Source organism: Homo sapiens, chromosome 22 (assembly GCF_000001405.40).
Source record: "Homo sapiens chromosome 22, GRCh38.p14 Primary Assembly".
NCBI classification, from domain to species: Eukaryota; Metazoa; Chordata; class Mammalia; order Primates; family Hominidae; genus Homo; species Homo sapiens.
In genome coordinates, this window is record NC_000022.11 from 19,640,584 (window position 1) to 19,656,858 (window position 16,275).

At 44.6% G+C, this 16,275-nt stretch overlaps 1 annotated feature.

Moving 5' to 3' along the window:
* Window positions 12,834-13,057: a silencer, noted in NCBI's record as "fragment chr22:19640940-19641163 (GRCh37/hg19 assembly coordinates)". NCBI's record gives its function as "represses an EF-1alpha promoter that drives an FKBP-Casp9 reporter gene in an ReSE screen in K562 erythroleukemia cells {active_cell/tissue: K562}" and the evidence as "EXISTENCE:reporter gene assay evidence [ECO:0000049][PMID:32094911]".

Consider the following 16,275-nt stretch of genomic DNA (forward strand, 5'->3'; position numbering starts at 1 on the left):
GGCTCAAGAGCTCCTCCTGCCTCAGTCTTCCCAGTAGCTGGGACTATAGGCATGCACCACCATGCGTGGCTAGCATTTTATTTTTGTTGAGAGAGGGTCTCGCTAGGTTGCAATTCTCCCATCTTAGCCTCCAAAGTGCTGGGATAACAGGTGTGAGCCACTGCACCCGACCCAGAATTTCCTCCTTTTGACGGCTGAGTGATGTTCCATTGTCCGCACACACACATTTTGTTTATCCTTTCATCCATTGATGGACACTTGTGTTGCCTCCACCTACTCGTAGCACCCTGGCTGTTATGAGTAGTGAGTGCACTATCTCTTGTGTGCAGTTGTCTCATGGAGACCTTGCTTTCCTGCCTGTGGCGTTAGTGCAGGTGGCAGGCAGGTCGGTGGGCAAGCAGGTGTGCCCTGTGGATGACGAGAAGCTTTTTCTGCTTAAAGCCCTGCATGGATCAAAAGTTGGAAAATATATTTGATTTTTACAATTTGTTCAAAATTAATCAAGCAAACACTGATTTTCATGTATTTTCTGAGATCTCTGCTATAAAACAGAAAACCACCACCCTCTTTCCAGGGAAGCATCTTCTTCCTGGCTCCCTCCTTCCCTTCGGGCCATGGCGGCATCCTCGGATCCTCCCTAGCCCATTCATATCACACGGCTTTTCCTCCTCTGCATCTCGATACCACTGGCTCCTTTGGGAGGTTCCTCTGAGCCACCCATGCGCGGGGTGGGTTGTCATGAAAAGTCACCAGTTCCACCTCCAGCCAGAAGTCCCACAAAAGCGAAGGGCACTGAAGACAAAACCACCCTTCCCTTCTCTAAAGGAGGAGGGGCGGTGCTTCAGAGGGTGTCCCCCAAACCCGTTCTTTAGAGCAGGGTCCCCAACCCCTGGGCTGCGGAGTGGTACAGGTCTGTGGCCTGTTAGGAACGGGCCTCAGAGCAGGAGGTGTGCGGTGGGCGAGTTTACCGCCGAGCTCCGCCCCCTGTCGGATCAGCTGGGCATTCCATGCTCATGGGAGGCAAACTCTATCGTGAACTGCGCATGTGAGGGATCCAGGTGGTGCGCTCCTTCCGGGAATCTAATGTCTGATGATCAGAGGTGGAACAATTTCACCCCGAAACTATCCCCCACCCAACCCCATCGGTGGAAAAATTGTCTTCCACGAAACCGGTCCCTGGTGCCAAGAAGGTTGGGGACTGCTACTTTAGAGCATGTCCTCGGAGTGGAGGTACCTGCTCTCCACGCAGTACAGCATCTGGCTGTGTGGTGGCTGCAGTCCAGTGGGTCTGAGAGGGGTGGAGGGGGAAGGTGGAGAAGGAGAGGAGGGAGGAGGGGAGGGAGGGAAAGGTGAGAGGGGAAGACGAAGGGAAGGAGAAGAGGTGGGGGAGGGGGCAGGGGGGCAGCATTGGCCAGGTAAGGGCGTGTCCACTGTGAGGCACCGTGGGATTCCTGGGCGAGGACTGTGAGACACTGGTGAGCGTGTGTGCAGGGCTCTTTCGGGCTTCCTCTGTTTTTAATGACATCAGAGTGCGTGCCATGCATGGGGCTGTCCTGGTGTTGGCACTGACCGCTTGGAGCCCAGCTGCTGCCCCCTTTCTCAGGCCACAGATGCGCCCAAGAGCAGGGTTTGTCCAGGCCCGCCTGGGCCCGCTCCACGCCATCCTGCAGTGCCCACGCAGCAGCGGTGCCAGGTCTTCCTTCAGCACCCATGCGTGGTTACCTGTGGCCGATGTGGCAGGCGTGTAGGGTGTGACTGCAGAACTGCATGGACCAAGCACCGTCTGCCTCCTAAGGGAGCAATGGGACCGAGGAAGTGGGCCCCATGTTGGCCTTGACCAGCTGTGCCCACCTCCTTTTGGGAACAGATGTGCCAAGAACAACCAGGCTAAGGAAACGTGGCTCGCACACCGGGAGCCCTGGGGAAAGACTACAACGATCCTTTTAATAATACTTTTTACTGACTGTAGTCATAGTGTAATAATTTCAGAAAATTCAGAAACCATAGAAAAGTATACAGAAGAAAATTAAAATTACCTGGTGCCCCCACCAAGCCACAGTGATCATTGTTCAAGCATTAACAAATTTTCCTGGATTTTGGTAAACAGATATAAGTGCATATTTTAAGTGGAAATATTCTATATTTAGTTTTGATCCTTGTTTTCATCCCTTTAAAAGGATTTTTCATATTATTCAATCATCTCCTAAAATACAGTTACCAGTAACTGCCTTCATTCCATTAGATGCTGAAATGGATTTAACTGTTCTCTGGTGGTTAGTCATATATTCTTGTTTCTTTCTTCTTTCCTGGTATACATAATATTGGGAACATCTTGGAACAAGATGGCTGTACTCAATTATTGAAATTCCTAAACGATAAATGACTGGAGGAGAATCCTGGATCAAGGAGGGGCTCCTGGAAGTGCTCTGGGCCCTGCTGGAGGCACAGGCCTTGGCCACAGGCCACCACACATACCCTTTGGAAAGAGACTTTGCCATTGTGATCGGCCAAAAATGAAACCTCACTTTATTTTATTGTGAGACAGTGTCTCATTATGTCACCCAGGCTGGACTGCAGGCTCACTGCAGCCTCGACCTCCTGGGCTCAAGAGATCCTCCCACCTCAGCCTCCCTAGTAGCTGGGACCACAGGTGGGCGCCACCATGCCAGGCTAATTTTGTATTTTTTGTAGAGATGGCATTTAGCCATGTTGGCCAGGCTGGTCTCAAACTCCTAGGCTCAAGGGATTCGCTCATCTTGGCCTCCCAAAGTGCTGGGATTACAGGTGTGAGCCACCACGCCCAGCCTTTTTCACTTAATTTTGAAGCTTGGAGATAAGTTTTATATAGGCCCATATACGGCTGCCTGAAACCTCACTTTAAAACTAGGTATATTTGTTTGCTGCCTGCTGAGGCTGAGTGCTCATTGCCTGTTGCTTGGCTATTTGTAATTGTCTTTTGTGAATTGCTTTTTCTTATCATTTGCCCATTTTTGTACTGGAATGTTTACCTCTTCCTGGCTGATGTGCAAAAGCTCTTCAATTCCCTTGTCATATGCCTTCCAGCATGTTATCATGGCCTTTGCACGTCTATGGGTTTCCATGGCCAGACCTCTGGCTTCTTATCTTCACGGCATCACCTTTGCTCCTATGCTTAGACGATGCTTGCACATTTGAGGGAAAGGGAGCATTTTCCTGTTTTTCCCCTGTATTTGGTTTATTACATTTGGCTCTTAAATCCGGTGGTTCCCAGTTAGGGGTATGCATCAGATTTCCCAGGAGGGCTTTTCTAACCATAAGTGCCTGCCTCAGTCCATCCAGATCTTCCCATCAGCCCCCAGGGTGGGGCGGGTGATGGCGGGTGGGGGTACAGCCTTGTTTTGGAAAAAGTGCCATAGATGGTGCAGATGCAAGCCTCTGATTATGGGCTTCTTCCTTCTGCCACATGTGTGATGTAAGATAAGGATGCTATTTTTATTGGCTTATATTTTAAGAATAGCTGATTGCACAAGTATATTTATTGTGCAAACGTGCCTTCTTTCCCCACTCAGTGACATTATATCTAAACCAAATTCTCAATTATAACACGGGAACGTTTCCCTTTAGCCTGCGAAGATCCAGTGTCTCGGTTATGGTGTTTCTGGTTCCCCGGCCACTTGGAAGACACCTGGAGCTCTGTGATCTTGGTGGGGACCTCAATGTCAGCCGGGACCTCAATGTCAGCAGACCCTGTGTCCCCAGTGTGGCTGGGCTTTGCTAGACCTGTGGAGCAATAGCTAGTCAGGCTTGTGGCCCCAATCCAGCCAGCATCACACACTGTCCAGCCTCCCTCTGACATCAGCATAGGTCTAATGTCAGCATAGGCCCTCTGCCGCAGGGCTGTGCCCAAGGACACTCTCCTGCTCTGGGTCCTAAGGGAGGGAGGATCTCAGGAGAGGCCTCTCCTCATCCCTGGCAGATCTCTCAAAATGGCCTGCAGCCGGGATTCCAGACACCTGAGCTGGTGTGAGCCCACTCCCCACCGCTGGCTCTCAGGCTGGAGTGGGGCCAGGATGTCACTGAGCTCCTCAGAGTTTGCAGACCATTTGCCCCTCAGCTGGACCCCTGGCCCACCAGGGACTTGAGCAAAGCTGTTCCATCAACGCAGGGGAGGTGAGACCACATCTAATCAGGGGTCTGATGTACACACAGCACCATCACCATCTCAGAAAGGTTCATCACCCAAGCACAAAGAAGCTGGACTTGGACATCTGACAGCAAAGCATGACCCATTTTATGTGAGGCAACGAGTCTGAAAGCAGGTAACCGGGACACCCAAAAGCTGAAAGCACAGAGGGGTTGGCGAGGAGTGCCTGGACCTCTCCCTCCCCAGGGGTGTCTTCCTGTCAGAGTTATGCATGCTCTTGCCAGAGAGGGCAAGCTTGACAGCCAACTGCCGCTTGATCAGCCTGCCCCTCCTGCCTCACCTCCTGTGCCTCAGCACGTGGCCATGTCCCCATGCCCCCCCAAATCTCGCACCCTCTCCACCGCACAGAGCTCTGTCTTAGGTCCCCAAGGGCCACATGGGCAGCCTGAGTCCTTCCCTTACTTCGCAGGTTTTTCCACAGCACTGGTGTTGATTGCTCCCTCCCTTAGGGAGCTCTCTCCTGACTCTAAGCTCTCCTCTCGAGCTCCTGCCTCTCGCTCCCTGGCTGGGCACCTCCCTTTCCTCTCTGAGATGATGCCCTCCAGGGCTCTTTCTCTGCAGCTTTCCTCACTCAAAGTGTTTTCATTCTTTCCCAGGGCCTTGCCTCTCTTTTTATATGGGGGCCCCAGAACTTGTTTGGAGCCACAGACCTGTTGTCCCCGCTGCTCTAGGGGCCTCTGCAATTGGGCACACATAGATCTTTCCCAGTTTACTCCCACCCCAGTGAGCGGTCCCACAGCCTCCTGCTGCCTTCACAGGCATCTGGGGGCACACACATTCATGTGGTCTGACGGCATCTCACCTTGCACTTCTTCCTGCTCGCCTGTTGGAGGTGCCACAGAGGCCCCTCCATGCCACGACCTGTGGCTGAGTAGGTTTCCACACTTACTTTTTTTTTTTTTTACAGTTTTATTCAGGTATTATTTACTTAACTCCAAATACACCCATTGTATTGAGTTTCAGTAAATTTATAGAGTCGTGCCACTATCCCCTCAGTCCAGTTTTAGAACATTTCTATCACCCAAAAAACATTTTCTTGTGCCTGTTTGCAATCCCCACTCTCTGCCCCACCCCTGGCTCAAAGCAGACCCCGATCTGCTTTCTACCTGTAGATCTGCCCCTTCAGGATCTTGAACATTTACTTTTCGCCAGTTCACTGCAAGAGGTTGAGTCTCAGCAAGAGTAAGGAATGGCTCCGGAGAGGTGACACCAGCTAAATGGTGGACTAAGGACCTTTGGAAATTCTCTCCTCCAGAAACTTGACGACAATGCTGGCAAAAAATCATCATAATCAGCTGTTTCAAAACTCTGGAAATTAACCAAAGGCCCACAGAAATTTAGGGAATGCTTATTCAAGAAAAACAGCTGACTTTCAATAAGAACAATGGACTTCGTGGTGTTTTGTGGGTTTTTTTTTGAGACAGGTTATTGCTCTGTCCCCCAGGCTGGAGTACAGCGGTGCCATAATAGCTCGCCGTAACCTGGAACTCCTGGGATCAAGGGATCCTCCCACCTTAACCTCCCAAAATGCTGGGACTGCAGGTGTGAACCACCACGACTTGCTAATTTTTAAATTTATTATAGAGATGGGGTCTCACTATGTTGCCCAGACTGGTCTAGATCTCCTGACCTCCAGCAATCCTCCTGCTTCAGCCTCCCAAAATGTTGGGATTACAGGTATGAGCCACGGTGCCTGTTCTGTGTGATGTTTTAGCCTGCACTGTTCTCATCATTCTCCCCTCAGCTCCACAATGGTCTTGGAGACTAACAGCCCACCACTATGGTGAAAATGAACATATGGCAGCTGCTGAAAGGTGTAGAGAGGGTTGGAGCCCCATTTCCACAGAATTGTCATTATTTGACCGCTCTGGTGGTTCCATAAAGACCCCACCCACAAGACTTTCTTTATTTGATCGGACTTGGGGGATGCCCAGTATAAAGAGCTGTTTCCCTAGGAGCATTTGTTGAAAACAACCAGAGGTGATTGTTGTATATCATGGTTGCCTGAGGTGGTGTATAACAGTTGGAGCAAATAACAAGCTAACCCAGATATTTAAAAGGAAAAGCTGGGAAACAAGATGTCTATAGGGGCTTTGACAAGCTCTGACACATTCTTGGGCATCTAGAAGGCCATGTGCAGGGATGAGTGTATACTCAGGAGAACCTCACCTCTCACCTCTGGCTAACCTTGAAGCTCTGCAGAAGTGGGAAGTAAAAAGTAAGGTGGAGTTGCCAACTGCTTGGCTGAGGGTCAAAAGTGTGCCCCTACCCATACACAGAGCCCCTCGGCAAAGGCTAAGAGACATACTGGTTCCAGGTATCTAAAAATATTTGTGTCCAGTCATTTAGCTGCCCATTAAGCTAACTGAATAGAGACTTCAGTAGCCACACACAAAAACAAATACAAATTTTACATAATTAGCCCAGGAAAGTCACTGAACAAACAAACAGCAACAAACCCTGGGGAGGAGGGGGTGCAGGAATCTGATTTCCAGAGTTGCCATGTTATATTATTTTAAAATATCAGTTTTTAACAACAAAAATTATGAGACACTGTCCATGAGAAAGCCCAGATTGTTGGATTCACCGTACAAACACCTTAAATGAACTGCTTTTAAATATGTTCAAGAACTAAAAGGAACTATGTCTAAAGAACTAACAAAAAATATGAGAATGATGTCTTACCAAATAGAGAATATTAATAAAGAGAATAATTTTTTTTTTTTTGAGATGGAGTCTCACTCTGTTGCCCAGGCTGGAGTGCAGTGGTGTGATCTTGGCTCACTTCTGCTTCCCGGGTTTTCAAGCGATTCTCCTGCCTCAGCCTCCTGAGTAGCTGGGATTACAGGCATGTGCCACCATGTCCAGCTAATTTTTGTATTTTTAGTAGAGGTGGGGTTTCACCATGTTGGCCAGACTGGTCTCAAACTCCTGGCCTCAAGTGATCTGCCCACCTCAGTCTCCCAAAGTGCTGGGGTTATAGGTGTGAGCCACCATGCCCAGCCATAAATTATTTAAAAAACAAAAAGACATTCTGGAGTGAAATGTATGATAACTAAAATAAAAAATTCACCAGAGAGGCTCAACAGCAGATTTATGGCCAGGCGTGGTGGCTCATGCCTGTAATCCAAACACTTTGGGAGGCCAAGGTGGATGGATCACCTGAGGTCAGGAGTTTGAGACCAGCTTGGCTAACATGGTGAAACCCTGTTTCTACTAAAAATACAAAAAAATTAGCCAGGCATGGTGGTGCATGCCTGTAATCCCAGCTACATGGGAGGCTGAAGCAGGAGAATCACTTGAACCCGAGAGTTCAAGAGGGCAGTGAGCCGTGATCACGCCATTGCACTCCAGCTTGGGCAACAAAAGCAAAACTCTGTCTCAAACAAACAATCAAAACAGCAGATTTATGTGGGTAGAAAAAAGAATCATTACACTTAAAGAGGTCAGTTGGGGTTATCTAAGGAATAGAAAGAAAATAATTGAGTCTGAAAAACAGAAAGAACAGGATGAAGAAAAATGAACAGAGTTCCAGAGACCTGTGGTACAACAACCAAGCATACCAATAAATGCATAATAGGAGTGCCAGAAGGAAAGGAGAGGAGAAAGGGATAAAACAATATCTGAAGAAATAATGGCTGAAATTTTTGATAAAAAACATATATGTATAGTTCAAGAAGCTCAAGAAACTCCAAGTGGAGTAAACTGAAAGACATCTACACCTAGATGCATCATAATCAAACTGTCAAAAACCAAAGACAAAGCGAGCATCTCAGAGCAGCAGGACAGAAGCCACTTGTCACACACAATAGAGCCTCAATAAGATTGACAGCTGATTTCTCACCAGAAACTATGGAGGCCAGAAGGAAGTGACATATTCAAAGTGCTAAAGGAAAACAACAAAACAAAACAAAGCAAAGCAAAACAAAACAAAACACTGTTAACCATCAATCTATATCAGCCAAAACTATCCTGCAAAAATGAAGGAGAAATTAGGACATTCCCAGATAAACAAAAACAGAGTTTCTCATTAGCAGAGCAGCCCTACAACAAATGGTATCGGCCGGGTGTCTTTCACCCTGAAATAAAAGGACATTAGGTAATATTTCAACTCCAAATAAAGAAATAAAGAACTCCAAGAAGGATAACCACATAGGTAAATATCAAAAACAGTATAAATGTATTTTTATTTGTAACTATTTTTTTCTATCTAATTTAAATGACAACTGCATAAGCAATCATTATAAGTTTAGGTTGATGGGCACACACTGTAGAAAGATGTAATTTGTGCTACTGTGGCATGAGTGGAGGACACAGCTATACACGCACACACACATTCATATATATATAAGAAATTTCTATTTCTCAGTCATTTGAAGATAATTAAATGGTACACATTTAACACAAAAGAAGAAGTGGAGAAATGAACAAAACAGACATAAGGCATGTACAAAACACATAACAAAATGGCAGATAATCCTATTCAAGAGTAATTACATTAAGTGTAAATGTTTAAAGAGCCCAATTAAAAGGCAGAAATTGGCAGAATGAATATAAAAACAAGATCCAGTTATATGTTCTCCCAAGAAATATACCTTAGATTTAAAGACACAAGTATGTTGAAAGTAAAAGAATGGAAAATGATATACCATGCAAACAGTACCCAAAAAGGAGCTGGAGTGGCTATACTAATATTAGACAAAATAGGTTTTAGCACAAAAAATGTTACTAGAAACAAAGTGGGAAGTTTTGTAATAATAAAGGGTATATTCATCAAGAAGATATAACAATGATAAACATATATGCACTTAGCAACAAAGTCCCAGGATACATGAAGCAAAAAATGACAGATTAAAGAGAGAAATAAAGAATTCAACAATAATAGTCATAGAGTTCAAGAGGTCATTCTCAGAAGTTCAACAAGAAAATAGAAGAGTTGGCCAGGTGTGGTGGCTCACACCTGTAATCCCAGCACTTTGGGAGGCTGAGGCGGGTGGATCACGAGGTCAGGAGATTGAGACCATCCTGGCTAACACGGTGAAGCCCCATCTCTACTAAAAATACGAAAGAAAATCAGCCAGGCGTGGTGGCAGGCGCCTGTAGTCCCAGCTACTCAGGAGGCTGAGGCAGGAGAATGGCGTGAACCCAGGAGGCGGAGCTTGCAGTGAGCTGAGACTGTGCCACTGCACTTCAGCCTGGGCAACAGAGTGAGACTCCATCTCAAAAAAAAACCAACAAAAAACAAACAACAACAACAACAACAAAAGAAAATAGAAGAGTTGAACAATATTATAAGCCAACTATAACTAACAGACATCTGTAGAACACTCCACCCACTAGCAGAATATACATTCTTTTCAATTGCACATGAAACATCTTCAGGATAGACCATATATTAGGCCATAAAATGAGTCTCAATAAATTTAAAAGGACTGAAATCATACAAATTGTCTTCTCAAATCACAATGGAATAAAATTAGAAATCAATAGCGGAAGGAAATTTGGGAAATTCACAAATATGTGGAAATTCAACAACACAGTAACCAATGGGTAAAACAAGAAATCGTAAGGGAAATTAGGAAATACTTTGAGATTAAAGAAGAATAAGACACAGCCTACCAAAACTTATGGGATGCACTAAAATAGTGCTTAGAGAGAAATTTAAAGCTATAAGCACCTATATTAGTAAACAAGGAAAATTCAATTTAATAATATAAACTTTCACCTTCAGAAACTAGAAAAGGAAGAGCAAACCAAAAATAATGCAAGTGGAAGGAAGTAAAAAATACAGATTACAGTGGAAATAAATTTTAAAAGAGAAAAGAAAATAATAATCAATAAAACCAAAAGTTGACTTTTCAAAAAAGATCAACAAAGTTGACAGCCTTTTGCTATACTGACTAAGAAAAAAAGTCAGACTCAAATTACTAAAATTAGGAATGAAAAAGAAAACATCACCACCAACATTACAGAAAAATGATTATAAGGGAATACTATGAACAAATGTATGCTGTGGCAGGTGGCATAATGTTCCCCTAAGATGTCTATGTCCTAATCCCTGGAACCTATGAAGATGTTACCTTAAATGGCAGATGGGATTTTGAAGATATGATTAAGTTAAGGATCTTGATATGGGAGTCTTAACTTGGATTATCTGGATGAGCTCAAGATAACCACAAGGATTCTTACAGACGAAAGAGGGAAGCAAGAGGGTTAGAGTCAAAGATTTGAAGATGCTATGCTGCTGGCTTTCAAGATAGAGAAAAGGGTCACAAGCCAAGGAATATAGGTGACTTTTAGAAGCCAGAAAAGGCAAAGGGACAGAGTCTATCCTGGAGCCTCCAAAAGGAATGCAGCCTTGCTAACACCTTGAATTTAGCTCCTTGAAATCCATTTTGGATATCTGACCTCAAGAACTACATGATATTAAATTTGTTTGGTTCTAAGCCACTAAGTGTGTGGAAATTTATCAGTGCAATAGAAAACTAATACACATGCCAACAAGTTAGATAAACTAAATAAAACAGACAAATTTCTAGAAAGTTAGAAACTTCTGAAACTGACTCAAGAAGAAATAGAAGATCTGAATAGAACTACAAGTAAAGAGATTGAATTAGTAAAAAACAAAACAAAACAAACAAAACTTCCCATAAGCAAAGCCTAGGGTGAGATGGTGTCACTAGTGAATTCTACCAAATGCTTAAACAGTATTTAACACCAATACTTTACAGACTCTTCCAAACAGTAAAAAAGAAGAGAACATTTCCCAACTCATTCCATGAATACCCACAAAACAATGCCAGACAAAAGCACACACAAAAGAAAGCTATAAGCCAATATCTTTTAAGAATTTAAATACAAAAATCTTCAACAAAATACTAGCAAACAAAACCCAGCAACATATACAAAGGATTCTGTACTATGAGTCAGTAGCATTTATGTCAGGAGTGCAAAGTTGGTCCAACAATCAATCAATCAAGTCAATCACATTAATAAAAAGATGGGCAAAAAAACACATGAGCATATTAATAAATGCAGAAAGCATCTAACAAAAATCCATCAATCTTTCATGATAAACACTCAACAAACTAGGACTGTAAGGGAATTTCTCAACCTGATAAAAGGCATCCATAAAAACCCCCACAGCTAACATCATAATGGTGGAAGACTGAAAGCTTTCCCCCTATGATCAAGAACAAGACAAAGATGTTCACTCTTACTACCTCTATTCGGCATTGTAATAGAGGTTCTAAACAGGGCAATTAGATAAGAAAAACCACCCAGATTATAAAGAAGCAAAACTATTTCTATTTGAAAATGATGTGATTTTGTATAAAGAAAATGCTAAGAAATCCAAAACAAAAGAAAACAATTACTAATAAACTAGTTCAGCAAGGTTGCAGGATACAAGATCAATATACAGAAATCCATTGTATTTCTATACAGTAGCAATAAGCAATGTAAAAATAAAAGTAAGAAGATAATTCGATTATAATAGCATGAAAAAAATAAAATACTTGGGATAAATTTAACCCAAAAAGTGAGAGACTTGTACAAAACATTGTTGAAAGAAATTAAGGAAGACCCAAGTAAATGGGAAGACATCCTGTGTTTGTGGATTAGAAGATGTACAGTTGGCCAGGCATGGTGGCTCCTGACTGCAATCCCAGCATTCTGGGAGGCCAAGGTGGGCGGATCACTTCAGGTGATCCTGAAGTGGTCAGGTCAGGAGTTCAAGACCTGCCTGACCAACGTGGCAAAACCCCATCTCGACTAAAAATACAAAAATTAGCCAGGCATGTTGGTGGGCGCCTGTAGTCCCAGCTGCATGGCAGACTAAGGCAGAAAATCGCTTGAAATCAAGAGGCAGAGGTTGCAGTGAGCTGAAATTGTACCACTGCACTCCAGCCTAGGCAACAGAGTGAGACCGTGTCTCAAAAAAAAGAAGAAGAAGAACATGTACAGTAGACCTTTGAATGATGGTGGCAATTCGGGGCACAGGTGAAAATCCGCATATAATTTTTGACTCCCCAGAAACTTAACTATGACTAGCCTACTGTTTCCTGAAAGCCTTACCAATAACATAAACCATCAATTAACACATATTTTGTATGTTATGTGTATTGTATACTGTATGTTACAGTAAAGTAAGCTAGAGAAAAGAAAATGTTATTAAGAAAATCACAAGGAAGATAACATATGCTTCCTATTCATTAAGTGAAAGTGGATCATCATAAAGATCTTCATCCTTGCTGCCTTCACATCCAAGGAGGAGAAGGAAGGGTGGGGTTAGCCTTGCTGCCTCAGGGGTGGCAGAGGCAGAAGAAAATGTGTTCATATGTGGACCTGTGTCATTCAAACCTGGGTTGTTCAAGGATCAACTGTAATAATGCAATACTCCCCAAATTGATCTACAAACTCAGTGCCACCTGACTTCTTTGCAGAAATGGGCAAGCTGATCTTAAATTCATATGGAAATGTAAGGGGTCCAGAATAACAAAAACAATCTTGAAAAACAAAATAAGAGCAATGTTGAGGACTCACACTTGCTGATCCCAAAACTTGCTACAAAGCTATAGTGAGGGAGACGATGTGACACTGGCATAAAAATAGACATATAGGCCGGGCGTGGTGGCTCACACCTGTAACCCTAGCACTTAGGGAGGCCAAGATGGGTGGATCACCTGAGGTCAGGAGTTTGAGACCAGCCTGGCCAATATGGTGAAACCTGGTCTCTACTAAAAATAAAAAAATTAGCCAGACTTGGTGGTGTGCGCCTATAGTCTCAGCTACTTGGGAGGCTGAATCACTTGAACCCGTGAGGCAGAGGTTGCAGTGAGCAAAACTCTGTCCAAAAAAAAAAAAAAGAAAGAAAGAAACCCCATCTCTACTAAAAATACAAAAATTAGCCAGGTGTAGTGGCTCATGCCTGTAATCCCAGCTACTCAGGAGGCTGAGGCTGGAGAATTGCTTGAACCCGGAAGGCGAAGATTGCTGTGAGCCGAGATCGCGCCACTGCACTCCAGCCTGGGCAACAGAGTGAGACTCTCTCAAAAAAAAAAAAAAAAAAAAAGACATATAGATGAATGGAATGGAATTTAGAGTCTAGAAATAGACCCTCATATTTATGGCTAACTGAGTTTTGATAAGGATGCCAAAAAGACTTAATGGGGGAAAGAGTATTCTTTTCAACAATTGTGCTGAGACAACTGGATATATCCACATGCAAAAGAATGAAGTTAGGCTCCACCTCATACCATATACAAAAATTAGCTCAGAATTGATCAAAGACTAAGTATAAGAACTAAAACTATAAAAGTCTTAAAAGAAAATAGAGGTATGAATCTTCACGACCTTGGATTTGGCAATGGTTTCTAAGATACGACATCAAAAGCATAAGCAACCAAAAAAATAGATAAATGATAAATTATTAAATAAATTATTTAAAAATAAAAGTATTCATTAAATCAATAAATGTAAATACTTTTATGCTTCAAAGGACTCTATAAAGAAGTGAAAAAGACAACACAAAGAATGGGAGAAAATCTTTGCAAATCATACATATGTAAGTCCCTGATGGAACTTGTAACTAGAATATAAAAATAACTTTTGCAACTCAATAATAAAAAGACAACACAATTTAAAAATGTACAAAGGAGCTGAGTGTGGTGGCTCAGGTCTGTAATCCCAGCACTTTGCGAGGCTGAGGTGGGAGGATCACTTGAGCCCAGGAGTTCAGGACCAGCCTGGGTGGCATTGTGAAATCCTATCTCTACTAAAAATATATACACACACACACACAAAATAGCTGGGTGTGATGGCACACACCTGTAGTCCCAGCTACTCAGGAGGCTGAGGTGAGAGAATCACCCGAGCCTGGGAAGTAGGGGCTGCAGTTAGCCGTGATGACATCCACACTCCAGCCTGGGTGATGGGAGTGAGATCCTGTTTTAAAAAAAAAATGCACAAAGGACTTGAATAGGCATTTCTCCAAAGATATGCAAATGGCCAATAAGCACATGAAAAGATGCTCAATGTCATCAGCCATCCGGGAAATGCAAATCAAAGCCACAATGAGATACCCCCTAGGATGATGGCTATAATCAAAAAGATATTACAATAATAAGTACTGGCAAGGATATGAAAAAACTGGAACCCTCATGCACTGCTGATGAGAATATAAAATGATGCAGCTGCTGTGGAAAACAGTTTGGCAGTTCCTCGAAAAGTTCAACATTGAGTTATCACAAGACCCAGCAATTCCACTCCTGGGCATATACTTAAAAGAATTAAAAATGCGTGTGGGACACAGTGGTTAACACCTGTGATCTCAGTGCTTTGAGAGGCAGGAGGTTGACTTGAGCCCACGAGTTGGAGGCTGCAGTGAGCTACGATCGTGCCACTGCACTCCAACACAGGTGGCAGAGCAATATCCTGTTTCCACATATATGTTTATAAACATATATACATAATAGTCAAAAGATGGCCATCAACTGATGAGTGGATTAAAAAAACGTAAAAGATCCATACAGTGGAATATTATTTAGTCATAAAAAGGAAAGGCCCAGGCGCTACCTAAAATATACCAAGCCCCAGGTTTACATAGGGCCCCAGGTCACACTAGGCTCTAGGTAGACACTGGACTCTAAGTAGACTTTAGGCCCCAGGTTCACAGCCACACCTCAGGAGGATACCACACCCCAGGTAGCTGTAAGACTCAATCCAGACACCAGTCCCCCGGTGGAGAATCTACGCCCCAGCTGGACATCAGGTTCCAGGTAAACACCAAGGCCCAGTTGGGTTTACTGGATCCATTGGTGGACATCAGGCACCAGGTTGGCACAGAGCCCCCACATAGATATCTACACCACAGGTGGACATGAGGCCCCAGGTACATACCCAGTCCGCAGGTGACTATCGGGCCCTAGGTGAACACTAGGTCTTAGATGAACTTCGGGACCCAAGTGGATACCCAGGCCCCTGGGGAACATCAGGCTCCAGGTGGACACCAGGACCCATGTGGGCAACCAGGTCCAGAGGTACATCAGGTTCCACATAAACACCCAACCTCCAAGTGGATACTGAGCCCCCAGGTGTACACACCAGTCCCTCGACAACTGAAAGGTCACATACTCTCAGGCCAAATGCAATAGAGTCATCTCTCCCAAAAATATGTATTTGGGAAAGCGAAAACTACACTTCTCAATCATTCTCAAGTCAAGGGACTCTTAATAGAAGGCCAAATACACACTGAAAGAACCAACCATGAAATTCCCACATCCAACAGGAGTGCAATGCTGCTCAACTAGTCCCAGAGCAAGACCCACCACAGGCTTTGCATGGAGGACACACAGATTAGAAGGGAAGAATGGAAATGTGGGACCTGAGATTGCAATACAAGAAAAGAGAAAAAGGCAACCGTGCATACCAAGAAACCCAAGAAAGAAAGGGTGACGTGGAGAAATAACTAACCCAGGCCCAGTTTTCCAAGAAACATTAGAACCCGCACTGCGAATGAAGTGGCAGGCCGAATCGAGCCCTGTCTAGATTTTCAGGTGTGGGTCTCTCCTAGATGACTTAAAAGCCTACAAATTGCTGAGGTCACCCTGACTATGTCCGACCCACCTTGCAGAAATTCACCACTGGGAAAAGACACCCAAACCAATGCAGTTCCGGAGCTTACCTTGGAGAAGCTTCCTGCAGTCCCTGGGTGCCACTGGCTGGCTCTGCGGCTTTCTTGGAGGGCCCGCGGCCTCAGCCCGGCTCCCTCCCTCAGCTCTGGTGCGTGGCCGCAGATGACCCGAGCGGCCTGGGCTTGGGCTTCTGGTGCCCTCGAGGAGCCGCCCTGTGTGCTCACACAGGCTCCTGGCGGCGGGCAGCACAGCACTCTCACTTTTGGTCACCGGTCCTTTCCCGAGGGCAGTCTGGCGGGGCACGGCTCCAGGGCCCCGAGTCCAGCACCTCCCTGAAATCTTCACGCCACAGGCAAAGCAGTAGGGCAACTTACCCAGGCTCTGCCTGAGCCAAGATGGCGCCTTCCTCACAGCCTGTGCAGGAGGGCGAGGTCCCAGATGATGAGGCGCGGGACAAGG